Source organism: Homo sapiens, chromosome 5 (genome assembly GCF_000001405.40).
Source record: "Homo sapiens chromosome 5, GRCh38.p14 Primary Assembly".
NCBI classification, from domain to species: Eukaryota; Metazoa; Chordata; class Mammalia; order Primates; family Hominidae; genus Homo; species Homo sapiens.
In genome coordinates this window covers 74,610,398-74,626,533 of record NC_000005.10, presented here as the reverse complement: position 1 = coordinate 74,626,533, position 16,136 = coordinate 74,610,398, and the positions used below count along the sequence as shown (strand labels likewise).

Genomic DNA, 16,136 nt, shown 5'->3' with positions numbered 1-16,136 from the left:
TGACACCATATGGATGACACCAAATGACAGGGAAGAACGGCGGGTTAGTTAGGAGTTGACGGATGGGATTTAGACTCAGGAAAAAGTCTTGATGTTAATCCCTAGAGGGGTTGAGAATGGTTCCTGTAGACATGATTGTGAACAGATCTTTCATTCTCTGGAGTTGTTTCTCTTTATCATCTCAGTCGGAACATGTAGACAGATTAAAAAGATACTTCAAATTCTTAATTTTCATTCATTTGGAAATTTCATTTCATTTAGATAGATCACACCAAACAGTAGCTATGGTAATAAAAATCTGGCCACAGTAGGCAAACGGGTTGGAGGTCGGCAGTCCAGGGCCGGGACAGCACCCCCATGAGGCCATCAGGCCTCATGCTTGCAGGATGGCAGCTGCATCTCATGGCATCTCATCTGCTTTCCAGGCAGCAAAAGTGGGGCAGACAAAGGGGAAAGGGCTCAGGCCAGAGGACATTCTCCCTTTTACTTTGAATAGTAATAGTTTACCCAAAAGGCTCACCGGGAGACTTACACTTACCTCTCAGTAGCCAGAACTGGGACATGTGAACTTCCCAAGATATAAGAGAGCTTGGGGAGGGCAGAACTTTTATCTGGCACACTGCCACCCCACAGCAATGTGATTTAATTAGTAAGGAACAAAGGGAGAGCAGACGTTGGAGGGGGAAATACACAGATTATTCTCTGCAGTTGGTAGGCTTATCTACTACAGCAATGGTTCCCAGCCTTTTTGGCACCAGGAACTGGTGTTGTGGAAGACAGCTTTTCCATGGATGGGGACTGGGCCTGGAGGCGGCAGGGATGTTTTTGGGATAAAACTGTTTCACCTCAGATCATCAGGCATCAGATCAATCTTGTCCAACCTGTGGCCCAGGATGACTTTGAATGCAGCCCAACACAAATTCATAACCTTAAATTATTTGTGATTTTTTTTAGCTCATTAGCTATTATTAGTGTCTTTTATGTGTGGCCCAAGACAATTCTTCTTCTAATGTGGCCCAGGGAAACCAAAAGATTGGACATTCCTACACTAGATTTTCATAAGGAGTACAAAATCTAGATCCCTCACATCTGCTGTTCACAATAGGGTTCCAGCTCCTATGAGAATCTACTGCCCCCTCTTCCCCGGCTCCGCTGATCTGACAGGAGGCGGAGCTCAGGCAGTAATGCTCACTAGCCAAAGGCTCACCTCCTGCTGTGCCGCCCACTTCCTAACAGACCACGGGCACTGGGCCATGGCCCAGGGGCTAAGGACCCCTGTACTACAGGGAATCATCAAAGAGTCATTGTAAACTATAGCCCCATTCATTAAGTGATGAGCTGAGATTGTGCTAAGGACCTGCTTTACAGTCATCTCATTTAATCCTCATGACAAATTGAGGTAAATATAGCGAGATTTCTAAACGTCTCTGAGCCATAGATACTCGATCTGTAAAATAAGCATGACTAACATTCTTTCTAATAGAAAAATTTAATAATATAAGAAATTTAAGAGTAAATACCAGGCTCAGTGCCTGGCACATAGTAGGTCCTCAGTAATTTTTAGTTGCCATTTTGAAACATTATGGGGAGAGATACATACATAAAAATCTGAGTGCTTATTCTATGCCAGGGACTGAGTTAAGGGTTTGCAAGCCTCTCACCTTGCTCATCCCCCCGGCAACCCTGTGAGAGCAGGTGCTATTATTACTCTCATTTTGGAGATGAAGAAACAGGTCTTGAGAGATTATGTAACTTGCCCAAGGGAGTGGTGGAGGTGGATTTCAAGACACACTCTGACCTGCTCCTCCAGGTCCAGGAATGTAGAGGAAGGTGATTCACAGGGCTGAGCCTGACTGTGAGAAACCCAGGGCTGCCCTGCATTCCATCGTGCCTGGAACACATGACTCTGTAAGGTGGTCCGAGGAGACCTGCCGCTGGTGAGCCTTGCCCTGGACATGAGGACTGAAGAAGCCAGTGGAAAGAGTTGATTGAGACTCAAAATGTTCCTTGACAGCCAGTTTCAGAAGATAAGTTGTAGAGAATTTAAAAATGAACGGGGGCTCCTGGGTGGTTGTTACACTTGATCATTCATTGAGCTGTACACGGATGCTTTTTGTGCTATTCTGTTTGTAAAATGTTTATTGACTAAATGATTGAATATACCCATGGATAATGGCCAGACCGTGTATGAAAATGGAACTCTGACCCACAATCTGCAGCAACCAGCCCAGGAAACCAACACATTGTCTATGGTGATCAGCCCAGGAAGCCAGCCTGCTCTCCGTAAGTCAGACCTGTAGGAAGTTAGACCACTATCTCTGGCAACTGGTTTAGAAAGCCAGATCATAATGCCTATATTATTCACAGTCAGCCCCAAATGGCCAGGACTTGACCAATAACTGACTACTTCCCTGATTTTTGTCCTTGCTTCTAACTAAGGACCAGCCAGAGAAAGCCAAATATGCACCCCTACTCAGACACCACAGGATGCCCACTTCTGGTTGGCCCACTTGCAGCTTCCCCATGCCAACGGCCTCCAATCAAACCTGAAGACATCCCTTTTTTCCCCACAATGAAACTTTCCCTTTTCTTTGTCTTCCTTTGAGTCTCTGCCAAAATGCAAGTGACGGTGGCTGACTCTCTTGCTATATAGCAAGCTCTGAATAAATAGCCTTTGCTTGTTCACATTTGGCTGGTCATTGTTTATTTCCACAGACAAATGTTTGCTCGATAAAATAATTAAATGTTTCAATAAAAAGGTTCACAAAAATGAAGTGGGGACCAACATTGTGGGTTCTAGGCAAGCTGGGTTTTCAGAAGGTTGCTGTTATCCTCCTGACTGTCTGAGTAAATAAAATGTACACAGTGCATATAGCACGAGAAAAATGGATTTTGAGTTAATGGGGTTGAGATTAGGGAGTCTGGTTTGCAAAAGGAGAACAGTTGCTTTGTTTGGGAATATTTTGAATAAAGTGAGAACACTTAAATAAGTTTTACAGCCATATTCATGGTGCACATGAATGTATGAATAAAAGCAAAAACTTAGCAGTTAATTCCTGGTCTTGCCTGTCACAAATCTTAAGTGCTTTGCCTGTCTGACACATACTCAGACTAAGCCATCTGTCCTGCATTTGAATTTAATCGTAGACAATGAATTTTAAAGCTCTGTTATATGTCAGACATTGGACAACTAGGTGCAAGACCTAACTTTCAGAGGGAAAAAAATGTATATTGAGGCATGACGATGAATTAAAAGCAATTTGACTAAGTAAATTATAAATCTACCATAATCTTGTCCAGCTCTGCTTACAGCCCAGCTCGCTTTGTGAGTCCTGGGGAAACCAAATGAGACAAAGTTTCTGTCTTTCTCTCTCTGGTCCTGTTTCCTTGGCAACCATAATCTTTATCTCTGCAAAGATGGGGGACTGCAGCAAGAAAAGGCAGTTGGAATTTCAGCAAAGACTCTCACTAACCTTTTTCTTGTGTTATCAGATGATTTGTTTTGTTATGAAAAGTTATTTTACACCCGCTTTTTAGATAACGTGGAGAGTGTTTATTGGATATTCTAGAAAGGCTGTGAGGATTTTTTTGTCCATGAGATATGCTAATATTGTATCCACAAAGAAGATGAAATCAGCCCTTTGGTAGACACAAACTAGGCACCTGCAAAGTGGGAACTAAAATCTCTCTCTCTCTCTCTGTCTCTCTGAGGCTCTAAAGAACACATATGAAAACTCTAAATTGCAAATACACCTGCCCCACTCACCCACCCACATACATTCTGGCCAAGGCATTGCTGCCAGAAGAACCATTTGCAGAGAACAAATTTTGTAATTTTGAAATAATTTCTATACTCTGAGGAGAAGTGTGGGGAAGGGCAACCCACCCCTACAGAGAAGGAAAGGAGAAAGGAAAAGCAGAAGACAACCTTGCCGGAATGTTTCTGGTAGTGGTGGCCTCTTCACAGCCCTTTCTGGTACTTCCAGAGGGTCCACCTATTCAAGAGATGGGGGGGGCCAATCAGCAGCCTTTTTCAAAACGGGAATACCTAAACTGCATTTTGAGGGCTGTTAGTCATTCACACATTCGTATGAATCAGGTCCATCTGAAGGGTGGGTGGGGGGTTGGGAGTGGGGCTCAGACCTAGGGGAATCCCAGGAATTAGGAGGCTTGGAGGTGTGGGAGAAGAATGAGAAAGGCAAATTTTTACTTCAAAGTGTTATGGTTAGAGAGGGGAAGAAATGAATAGGCAGAGCACAGAGGATTTTTAGGGCAGTGAAACTATTCTTACGATACTATAATGAGTAATGCCTGCCATTAAACATTTGTCAAAACCCATAGAATGTGCAACACCAAGACTGAACCCTAATTAAATTGCAGACTTTGGGTGATAATGATGTGTCAGTAGGAGCCTAAGAAATGCAGGTTGTAACAAATGTACCACTCTGGGCTGGGATGTTGATAGGAGAGGGAGGTTGTGCCTGTCTGGAGCTTCGAGGTATTTGGGAACTCTGCACTTTTTGCTCAATTTTGCTGTGAACCTAAAGCTACTCTTAAAAATTAAAGCCTATAATGCTCTCCTCTCCCCAAAACACCCTACAAAAACGTTAGAAACAAAAGGAGTCTTTTAGGGTTGTCAGATAAATTGTTTAATAAAGCATAGAGTATATTTTTTTTAATGTTACCTTGAATGAACATCAGGTACTGGAAAGAAAGAAAAGTCTTTCTCTCTGCAATATTGTCAAATATACATTTGGTCCCCTTCTTACATACAGCTCCTAAAATCCTTGGAATTGCCAGAGCGATGGGTGTCTTTTGTATGCTAATAAGATGACTGGTGGCCGGGGGCGGGGGGCGGGGGGGGGGCCCTAGTTAGCTTCAAGGTGAGAGCTGCATAGGCATGATTAGAGGACTGAGATTTTTAGCTCCTCCAACTGTGTGGGATGCCAGGACTGAAAGTTACGTTGATCACCAATGATTAAGGATGTAATCAATCATGCTTATGTAATGAAGCTTCCATAAAAACCCAAAAAGGGCTGGGCTTGAGAGCTTCTGGATAGCTGACCACATGGAGGTTTCTGGAGGGTGATGCATCCAGGGAGGGGATGGAAGCTCCTTGTCTCTTCCCATATATCTCACCCTATGCTTCTCTTCATCTGTATCCTTCCTACTGTACTTATAATAAACCAGTAAACATAAGTAAAGTGTTTCTGTGTCCTGTGGGCAGCTGTAAGTAACAAAGTACCAAACTCAATTAGGAAGCTGTGGGAACCCTGTTTTCCAGTCAGTTGGACAGTGGTGACAGGCATCTGAAGCAAGGGCAGTCTTGTGGGACCACACTCTCAGCCTTTGGGATCTGACACTATTGGTATGGACAGGAGACAGAAATACTGGGTAGAAGAGGGCAGTTCCCCGACAAAGGCCCCACCCTGAAGCCTGGAAACCCGTGGCCCTAAATGAAAGCAGGCATTCCTCTTTTTGCGCCGAAATGTTGCCTTTTGGCCTGCCACACCCCTCTATCCTGTACCCATATACACTCCAAATTCCAGGCTCCACAAACACATGAGCAGATGAACAGAAGAGCAGAGGAGCAGAAGAGCGGCATGGCAGAGAAGGAGAGAAGAGAAGGAACGCCTGAATGTCGACAGGAGATTGGCTGGGGACAGTTGGAGGGGAGATCAGCCACAGGATGGCCAAATTCCAGGGGAAGATCATCTTCCTACTCCATCCTCTTTCCAGCTCCCCATCCATCCCGCTGAGAGCCAACTCCATCACTCACTAAAATCCCCCGCATTTAACATCCTTCAATTTGTCCGTGTGACCGGATTCTTCCTGGACACCAGACAAGATCCCAGCTACCAACAGGGCACTGAGCTAGTTAACACTTAAGCTGTCTGTGGATGGCAGAACTAAAAGAGCACTGTAGCATGCCCACTAGGGCTTTGGGAGTTGCAGGCTCTCACCTCCAGATGCTACTTTGGGGCTGGAGCCCAAAAGCACTTGCCCCAGCTGCTGCACCTGCCCATCTGCATGCTACCCCTCCTTTAAGGGATTTGAGCACTTGGCGGCTTGCTGAACAGATGAGCCATACCCCTGTCGCACATCCTGCTGGGGGCGGTGGGGGGAGTTGGGGGGCAGGGGGAGTGGTCAGGCAACTCACCTGTCTCACTATCTCCATGTAGCTTGTGTCAGATTGAATTGTATTAATGGACATCCCACTGGTGTCTGCTGCAGAATCTGCAGAATTGCTTGATTGATGTGTGGGAACCCCCACCCCTACTCCACATCTCGTGTTGAAAGTATTGAGTGACTGAGTTAGCATGGGAAAAAGCCCATTCAGTTTTTTTTTGCTGTCTCTAACATTTTCATTCCTGCATTCCTTGTTCCCTAACATTTTCATTCCTGCATTCCTTGTTCCAGGACCCAGAATCAGGCCAGCACCAGTGGAAACTCAGAGAATGGAGTCCTGAAGGCTGACCCAGAACCCAGCTACCAATTATAACATCACTTCTAGGAGGATATGAGTCCCACATTCTCAGCAACCAACTCAAAACTCACTAATAAGTTAATGCTAGTCTGTATTTTGGCAAATACCTATCCATAGATATCTGCACTCCCAGTATAAATACTGAATCAGAAATTTTTATTTCTGTAATATTTTACTTCTTAGAATACTTAGTGTTCAAAATTTAATTACTGCAGTATATTTTTATTTTTCTTTTTAGGTGTTTCCTTGGGGCAGAAAGTTAAATGTCCATATGACTAGAAATTTATTTCTTCATTCATTTATTTCCAGGGAAAAAAAAACCATGAAAAGGGTAATAATCACTGACAGAAATGTGGAAATGTTCAAAGAGATAAACCAAACCATTTGGGAAGAACAATGGCCTTTTCAAAGAGTTCCACTAGAGCTGATTGGAGATAGCTGGAGGGAGACAGAGCCTTCCTCTTGCATGGCAGTAGGTTGGCCTTGCTGGCCTGGGCTAGGGCAGGGTTCCTGGAACTTCCTGTGAAGAGGCAGCCTTGGGACCCCTGGGGTAGAGAATGCATGGGGTGGGGCACAGAGGCACGATGAGGTTGTGTAGATGCTGCTGGGTGCCCTTTGAACCCAGCAAACTGGAGAGAAGGCTGTGAGGAGGAGGAGTCTAGGGCAGTGACTGCTGGCATAACCTCTGGAATGGCACTCACAGGTTCTCCTGCTTTCCAAGAACCAGGACCAAAGGCAGAGAACCCTGGAGTCCCAAGGTCCCTGGGTGGGCACTGCTTGTGGTTGGTCATATAACATTCAGTGAGTTACAGAAGGCTGGGTGGTGAGCTGTCATTAGCAGATGTCTTCCTACCTCTGAGAACAAGGGATAGGCATGACTCCTCCCTTTGTCTCTAAGGATGCTGGTACATGCTGTCTCAGAACCAGAGGGGAGAGGAGCTGTCTTGGAAGGGGCTGCTGGAATTGCACCTGGACACCAGGGGCCAGGCATTAGCCCTCCACGAGGAGCAGAAAGAAGGGGAGACAGAGAGAGGAGACCACCTGTCCATCTTCCTCTCTCCAGGCTTAGCCTACATACACAAACTCTAACTCACAGGGGGGCCTAGAAAGATATCAGAGTCTACAATGGGCATAGCATTAGTCTCTGTGAACTATGGTTACTGGGTAGAACCTACAAGAAAAGCAAAGTAAGACAGGTAAAGGAGAGGAGGAGCTTGTGCCCAGCAAAGGATCCCCACTACCCACTACCAAATGGGAAACATCAGGGTTTAGAGAAAATGTTTTCTTGTTTTTTTTTTTTTTTTTTTTTTTTTTGAGACAGGGTCTCACTTTGTTACCCAGGCTGGAGTGCAGCAGTGCGATAGTGGTTCACTGCAGCCTCAATCTCCCCAGCTCAAGCAATCCTCCCACCTCAGCCTCCCTATTAGCTGGGGCTATGGTAGTCACCACACCCAGCTAATTTTTGTGTGTGTGTGTGTGTGTGTGTGTGGTTTTTTTTTTTTTTTTTTGGTAGAGATGGTGGTTTCCCTATGTTGCCCAGGCTCGTCTCGAACTCCTGGGCTCAAGCGATCCACTGCCTCAGCCCCACAAAGTGCTGGGATTACAGGCGTGAACCACCACACCCAGTTTAGAGAAATGTTTGCTTTGGTTTACTTTGCTTTCCTTCACTGGGGTCTGGCCTGGGTTGTGATCTGGAAGTGCTCCCTACCTTCTCTGGCTCTCCCCGCTTCATTACTTCACTAGAGTTTCTCCCTATAAATCTATTGCTCACTGAATCCTGCCTTGACATCTGCTTCTTGGAGGACTCAAACTAAATCAGGGGGGTTACAACTGCAGACAAGGATTGAAATCATTCCTACCTATCACTCATCCTTATGGCCCTGTGGTTTCCTGTGTGGGCAGGGCAGGTATAGGGGCAGGTGAGGGGAAGACTTTAGAGGGGACGAGATTGCCCCAGTGACCCATCTTTGAGCAGCTCACTTCCAGAGGGATTCTTTCTTCCCTTTCTTTTTTATATTTGGGGAGATGACTAAATGGTTTTGAAAACGTCTCAGTGTTTGGCACAATCTGCCCGAGCATAGTGATACGACTGCTCTGTTCACAACTACGCTGCAATTTTAGACAAAATTTTCAGAGCATCTCAGCACCTAACAACGCATAAAAACCTGGTGGTAATTTCAAGATACGTAACATCTGCTTATTTCATTTTGTTACAAGTCACCTGGGCAAAAACTCTTCCTAACTCTGCCCCATAAATGAGCTAATATCCAAATAGAACATTCTGCTTAACAGCAGTAGCAATTATCCTGTGGCAATCCATTAAAAAAGCCTTAAAGGTATGTCGCTTCTCCAGGTTAACAAAACAAAACCATTATTTTTCTTTGTAGCTCAGATGGGCTATTTGCTCTTTGTAGCTCAGATGGGCTATTTGCTAATGTCTTACCAGCTCTAACAGCTTATTCTCTGAGAAGGAAATAGTCGTGGTTTCTTTGAGAAAAACTAGTCCTCCTATCTTGGGGTTTTAAATAAAAGGATTTGGGAACCATTTAAAGTGCATTGTAAAATAATGTGGTTCTACAATAGCATTATGGCCCCCGCACTTTCCAATCATTTTAAAAGCATGCCTGCCTATTACATCTATTCAAGATTTTCCAGTGGAGACCTTTGAGCATTGTTGTGAAATAGATAACAAAGACACTGAGTTCCACAGCGATTTCTCCTCTCATTATTTTTTTTCAAACTGCTAGAATGTAATTCAGGAAAAAGATAGGTTGATTAAATACATCTGCAAGAACCTTCTGGCTTTGGAAGCAGGAGAAGCCCACACTGGTCACCTTCAGTTTATTATATATCCTGACCCCTCTTCGGCACGTGTCTTTCTTCAGGTCAGTTTTCTGTTTCTTCTGTATAGTTTTGGAAGATGCCTAAAGAAAAATGCCTTGGAAAAGACTACAAGTTGACATCACTATTGTAAGGTATATGGGTGTACATTGGTCAAGAATTAGGCTGAGGCTGACATCCAGGCCTGCTTGAGTCAGTGGGATTGTTGCGCAGGTGCACACCTCCACTTGTTATATAACCTGTTTACGTAAGCTCATTCTTGGCTCGGAATTTACTTACTATGGTCTGTAAAAGGTATAACTGCCCTGCTGACACTGTACAGGCACTCCTGGGCTCAGCTTGACATGGCTTGGGGGTGCACTGGCGCCCAGAGAAAGAGAACCAGAGCTGTCTGTCTTGCAGATGGACAGAGGGGAGCCAGGGCATGGCACAGCTCGACATGGCTGGCGCTGGTGGCCAGAGGGAAAGAGTTAAGCTGTTGACCTTGAAGACAAGGGAGAGCCGGCCGTGCAGCTGTGTGTGGGAGCAGCCAAGCCGCAGAGCCGGCTGCTGAGAGGAGCTGCGGAGCCGCAGCAGACCGCCGAGATAAAGGCGGACAGTGTAATAGAGCTGCCGGTGAGAGAGCTGTTGAATAAAACTACATTTCACCTGCTTAGAGCCCCCCGAGTGTTCTTTCAGCTATTCGCCTATCCACCCACTCCCCTCGGACCTCAGTACGGGCCCGAACCTGACCCTGGACCTGACAATTGGCGTAGTTGTGGACCTAACAACTATCTTGATGCCATCTGCCAGGACCTGAGAAGAGTCTGGGCCTCTTAGTGGGGCAAGCATTGCAGGCGGTAATCCTCATCTTGCATCCCTTGGCCAAACTCTAAGAGTGTAGGAAATGACTGATAGTAGTCTGAATGGGTAGAATCCTGTCTGTAGCAACTTAGCTTTCTGTGTTCCAAGCAGGTTTTCTCTGAACCCTCTCTCTACCCCAAAGACAAAGCTCTCACATCAACATGGGATCAGAACTGGTTACCAGTCTGGGGTTTACAGCTGATCTTGAATCCTGATTCTCAGCCTATGCTTAATTTTCTGTGGTGACAATTAAAGCTCATTAAAAAGCTGACACATTGTTTCCAGCTTGTCTCTGATTTAATTAAAAGTCTTAAGGAGGGAGGAGCAGAAACCATATTAGTCACAGAAAAAAAAAGTCTGGGGCCTCCCTTTTTATCTCATGAAATTATTTATAATTTGAGAGTTATTCAGCGACTTCCATGAAGAGCCCCTTCTGTTGAAATGTTAAAAGAAGATGAAGTTAAACCTAATCAGTATGTTGTCCTTCATCCAGAGGAAATATTGACGAGCTGAAATAGAATCACTGACAGCCACCTGCCTTCTTGTCAATTCATCTTAGAATTTAAACTGAAGGAGAAATGACAGATAATGAAGAACAAGTTTTTTCAATGCAGAAAAAGTTGACTGGAGACTTTTTATATTTCAGCCTGATAAATATAATTTCAATCTTCTTTTTACCCAAATTAAAATATCTAAGTAACTCAGGCTGTTGCTTTTATAGTGTGGTGCATAAAACTGTATTGATTTAAACAGTAATAAGTACTCAACTTGTTATTTAACCTTATTGTCATAGTTTCTGATAGGAATATCTTCCAGGGAATTAGAAGAAACAGTTTTGGAAGTGAGGTTTGGGTCTTTACGTCCCACCTATTTTGGGATGGTGCCCAAAAGTGCACCAAGAGCCCAACTGAAAAAAGTTGACATTTTAGCTTGCTATTGGAAGGTAATTTTTTAAAATAACGCAGCTTTTGAAAAATTAAGAATCAAGGTAAATCCTTGGCTAAGCCTTTATAACTAATGAATTTTTGAAAGACTGTATACTCCTGAGAAGTACTAAATGTATTTAACTGCTTGAAAAGATTAATTAGCTCATTGCTATAGGAAACACCCTGTTCCATTTTGTATCCATGAAGGCCATGGGTCAGCAACCAATAGCAGGCTAATGGGGCTAGACCAGATTGGTTACCTGTTTAACCAGTGGTTCTCAATACCTGAAGGTGCTCAACCTTTCAGTGTCTATTAGACTCACCCAAAGGACTTTGAAAACTAATGGCCGGGCACTGTGGCTCATGCCATTACATAATCCTAGCACTTTGGGAGGCCAAGGCAGGTGGATTGCCTGAGCTCGCAGTTTGAGACCAGCCTGGGCAGCATGGTGAAACCCTGTCTCTACTAAAAATACAAAAAAAAAAAAAAAAAAAAAAGAAAAATTAGCCAGGCCTCGTGGTGTTCCTGCAGTCCCAGTTACTCAGGAGGCTGAGGCACGAGAATGATTGAACCCAGGAGGCGGAGGTTGCTGATCTTGCGGAGCTGAGATTGTGCCACTGCACTCTAGCCTGGGGGGACAGAGTGAGACTCCATCTAAAAAAAAAAACTATTTATGCCCAATTTCAGTCCTGGTGCCCCCGCCCCAGGTCCTGACTTAATTGGTCTGGGATCAGGTGCATGCTTCTGTAAGCTTTTGAAGCTTCTTAGGTGAATCTAAGTGCTTTATCCCAAAGCAGTTCAAGCAGGTGGTGCCAGAATCACAAAGTGAGGAGAGAGAATTTCTCCGACCAAATTTACTTTTGGCAATTACACTGCCATTGCCCTGAGTTTATGTGTGGAAAGTTCAAGTTTTGTGCACATGAGTGTGTGTGTGTGTGTATTTGTGTGTGGGTGTGTGTGTGTGGCAGTGAAGGGTACAAAAATTGTTTAAAATTTAGAATCTTTTCTCTGATAGTCGGGGTTGGGGAGGTCCCTATTTTTGTCCCTCTCTATACCATACCACATAGGGACTGGCTTTTTGGATTAGTTATCCATGGCTCAAAGTCTGTGGAGTCCCAATTTCAGTAAGTTTTTAAGGAGAGCTTTTCAGAAATGATATTCCATACCCCAATTCTCCCTTATTTTGGACCAGGATAGAACCAGGCTTTTTAGTTTTAACTAGTTTTAAAAAGTCTTATTTATTTTTTTACTTTGGGGAAATAAAATGTATTCCTCATTACTAATAAATGCCTCATCTAGCATGGGGCTGGATTTGTAAGTGGGATGTATGCTTAATGTAGCTGTGAATGTAATTTTACAATTAGAGTTGGTGCCCACCTTTAAGATTGGCTTATATTTAAAAGCTGATAAATAAGAACTGATCGTTTGAAATCTGGGGCACATCTTTCTCCAGAGAGGATGTCATCTTTGATGGGTGAAATTTCTATAATGGCTTTCAAAGTTTTGTGGTCCAAATGTAGCTGATCCCTAATACTATACTTGTTTGGTTGCTGAGCACAGGTGAATTTGGTCATGGATGGAGCAGGGAGGATCAATCATACTGTACTTATTAATTTGCAACTTGCCTTTTTCTCTTAATATGATATTGAGTTTGTTCAATGTGAGTATTTTTCTCATTTTGTTTTCTTTTTCCCTGAAAGGGGGTTAGACATGTAAAACATTAGGAATAAAGTAGGCACCTTGGCTAAGCTTGTATTTCCACTCAATTACCAGATACATCCAACCAGAAAGAGTCTTTGTTCTTGTTTCACATTCTTTGGCCTCCTCAATTCAAGCTGCCTAATAAACACTTGTACTTCACTTCTAACTTCCTTCTTTGGTTCCCCTATCAGTTTAGACCAGGGAGTCCAAGCATGTTCGAATGGATGGAATCAGTAGTGTATTCTCAGTGGCTTGGCGAGGGACAGAATTTCTCAATCTTCCATAGCATTATTTTACAGAAGTGGTCTGTTGGCAAACAGCTCAGACTGGCCAACCACTTTTTTTTGACAGTGTCTTGATCTGTCAACCAGGCTGGAGTGCAGTGGCATGGTCATAGCTCACTGCAGTCCCAAACTCCTAGGCTCAGGTGATCCTCCCACCTCAGCCTCCCAAGTAGCTCAGACTATAGGTGTGCACCACCATGCCTGGCTAATTAAAAAAGTTTTTTTAGAAACAGGGTCTCACTTTGTTGCCCAAGCTGGTCTTGAACTCCTGGCCTCAAGCAATCCTCCTGCCTCGGCCTCCCAAAGTGATGGGATTACAGGTGTAAGCCACCACACCCAGCCTTTCAAACCACTTTTCTTATTATCTTTGCAATGCATTTAATATTCCCATTGTGGTTGGTATGCTTGGCATGGCTGAACTCCTCACAGTGATGTGCCAGGATCTACAGTAATCAACACTGTCTTGGGATGTAAGAGCTGATGCATTGAGCAGCAGAGCAGGTGCGTGACAGGATATTACGCTAATTATATGTGGGAGAGAAGGTGACCTGTTTATCTCAGGAAGAAAATGAACATGCAAAGCATTTACTCAGGTTGACTGGGGTACCTTATACAGCCTTCCTGTCTTTAAAAGCAAAAGTAATATCTTTATAAAAGCTCTCTCTGAAGTACAAATGACATGACGAAGTAGTAAATGTACCATTTATTATTAACTCGACTTTTAGCCTTGAACTGACTGTGGAATAGAATTGTACATATTTGTGTATTAATGAAATGAAAGTTCAGTGAATGAGAGCATTTCTTTCTTAAACCAATATCCTCTTTCTTGGGAATTAGTGCTTTTTAAAAAAATGTTGAGGCAGGCGCCACATCATGAAAGTAAGGCAAACAGTATCGCGGCTGCGGTAGGAACACCTGGTCTAACTTTATTTTCCTAGCTTGCAATTACATAAACTTATGTCATTGGAAGCAGAATGCATTAGGTTACGTAGTGTCTTTAATCTGGAATACCTCTGTACTTGAAAAACATTATTGCTTTAATCATCCCCACACCCCTAAGAAGAATTAAAGGTGGGAACTCTGACCAGCATCCCAGTATTACAGGTAAATGAATTAAGAAAGAGATGCTGAATGACTGAACAGCCTCTGCAACACGCGGACAGCCTGGGGGCAGCAGGCTAGTGCTGAGGAGGTGGGGCCAAGCTTTCAGACTCTGATCTGTGTTGAATGTCAGATGACCAAGAAAGTTGATGACCTAGTGGCACACTGAAGACTTAGATTAACAACTGATTTGAAAGGAGTCACAGTACCAGGTAAATAGCCCTCATTCTGCTTGATCGAGTATAACACTTTTCTGGAATGAGAGGAAACTAAGTGCTTTCAAGGGGTTTTGCATTCTTGGTTTGGGGCAGCCTGGTCAGAAAGTAAGAACTTAGTATTCACTGGTCTCACTTTTGGATTCTCCTCCCCTACTGTCCCTTAGGACAGCAAGCACCCGCTCACACACAGACACACAGAGCATACACATACACACATACCACACACACATTCAAACACATGCACACATGCTCCTCAGCTGCACTCTGGCTCTGTGAATCTTTTTTAGTTGATGGTTCAAAGAGAATTACAACATTGGGATATTAAGAATAAAATTAAAACTCTATGTCATCTAAAAAATTTCAAAGAGCAGGCTAGACATGGCGGCTCACGCCTGTAATCCCAGCACTTTGGGAGGCCGAGGCGGGTTTGAGAGCAGCCTGACCAACATGGAGAAACCCCGTCTCTCCTAAAAATACAACAATTAGCCGGGCGTGGAGTGGCGCATGCCTGTAATCCCAGCTACTCAGGAGGCTGAGGCAGGAGAACAGCTTGAATCCGGGAGGCGGAAGTTGCAGTGAGCCGAGATCGCGCCACTGCACTCCCGCCTGGGCAACAACAGCGAAACTCTGTCTCAAAAAAAAAAAAATTTTTTTTTCAAAGAGCAAAGTGCCTGATGTTATTGAGCCAGATTGTTATCTTCTTGGATACCTAGTGTCTCTCTCTCAGAGAGAGCTAAATATACCCACGGCCACTTTGCTGTGAGGCCTGAGTAATGTAGTCTATGGCATAGACACACTGCTCTGCTGGCACACACGCCTTGGGCTTTGCTGGCTGCATCACATGTAGCAATTACTCCCCCAGGGATACATCGCATGGTGGGTGGATAATCTAGAAAAAAAGTGCTGATGTGCAATGATGCTGTACAGGACCACTTATTTTATTCAAGTGGGTGCAAAACAGTTACATAAAGTATTATTTTGAGTCTTGGTTAATTTCAGGATCTAGAAAAAGCAGCGTTGCTACACAAAAGGGGAAGATCTTAAGGTAGAGGGACTCTGAAGAGATCACCTAGTCCAGTGGTTCTCAACCCCATGAAATCTGGTACCTCTCATTTATTGCAAATATTTTTTCCTTTCCCCCTTTACTATCCCAAATTAAAATTGCTATATAATGTAATGCCCAATGTCCAAAATCAATTATAATGCTTTCACTGTGCCACAGGTCAGGTTCCCCAGGAAAAAGAACTTGAGATGGTGTTTGGGGACATACTCTTGGGATCAACACCTGTGAGAGGGAGATGGAAGCAGGCTTGGGCAGAGGGAAAAGTTGGGTCACGCTGCCATGCAATTCCACACGACCCAGCAGATCCCACAGGGAGCTCTGGAGCAGATTGCTCTTGTAGAATTGTGCCTAATTGGGGCCTTATTATCCCCCAGTGACCAGTAAGTGGATGAGGGCTCCTCCTATGGAGGAGTCATGGGGCAGGACCTTGGAAGAGGCAGCCTTTTTCAGACAGGAGCAATTGTGGGGAGTTGGTGGTGACCCTAAGCCCTGGCTGCTCACGATCAGTGCTCTCAGCTGCTAGGGAGGTCCTGAAGTGGGGATCTCAGTGGGGCCCGCAGGGTCCAGCACAAACTAATAAAAAGGAAAAATAAAAGGAAAGTAATTTATAATAAAAGTGTGCATATTTTTGGCATGGCCAAACTAAAAGACAGTTCTAAGTCCGATACCAC

General features: G+C 44.2%; 1 long non-coding RNA gene across 1 annotated transcript, besides 4 other annotated features; it reads left to right on the top strand.

The window, feature by feature from the left end:
* Positions 651-1,150: an enhancer, noted in NCBI's record as "NANOG-H3K4me1 hESC enhancer chr5:73921209-73921708 (GRCh37/hg19 assembly coordinates)". NCBI's record gives its function as "activates a minimal SCP1, AML or CMV promoter by ChIP-STARR-seq in naive H9 embryonic stem cells {active_cell/tissue: H9 hESC(naive)}" and the evidence as "EXISTENCE:reporter gene assay evidence [ECO:0000049][PMID:30033119]".
* Positions 1,151-1,652: an enhancer, noted in NCBI's record as "NANOG-H3K4me1 hESC enhancer chr5:73920707-73921208 (GRCh37/hg19 assembly coordinates)". NCBI's record gives its function as "activates a minimal SCP1, AML or CMV promoter by ChIP-STARR-seq in naive H9 embryonic stem cells {active_cell/tissue: H9 hESC(naive)}" and the evidence as "EXISTENCE:reporter gene assay evidence [ECO:0000049][PMID:30033119]".
* LOC124901005 (uncharacterized) lies at positions 1,626-2,685 on the top strand. Its single transcript, XR_007058822.1, has 2 exons — positions 1,626-2,283; positions 2,440-2,685. It is a non-coding gene; the product is annotated as an uncharacterized LOC124901005 (long non-coding RNA).
* Positions 14,386-14,886: an enhancer, noted in NCBI's record as "H3K4me1 hESC enhancer chr5:73907473-73907973 (GRCh37/hg19 assembly coordinates)". NCBI's record gives its function as "activates a minimal SCP1, AML or CMV promoter by ChIP-STARR-seq in naive H9 embryonic stem cells {active_cell/tissue: H9 hESC(naive)}" and the evidence as "EXISTENCE:reporter gene assay evidence [ECO:0000049][PMID:30033119]".
* Positions 14,887-15,387: an enhancer, noted in NCBI's record as "H3K4me1 hESC enhancer chr5:73906972-73907472 (GRCh37/hg19 assembly coordinates)". NCBI's record gives its function as "activates a minimal SCP1, AML or CMV promoter by ChIP-STARR-seq in naive H9 embryonic stem cells {active_cell/tissue: H9 hESC(naive)}" and the evidence as "EXISTENCE:reporter gene assay evidence [ECO:0000049][PMID:30033119]".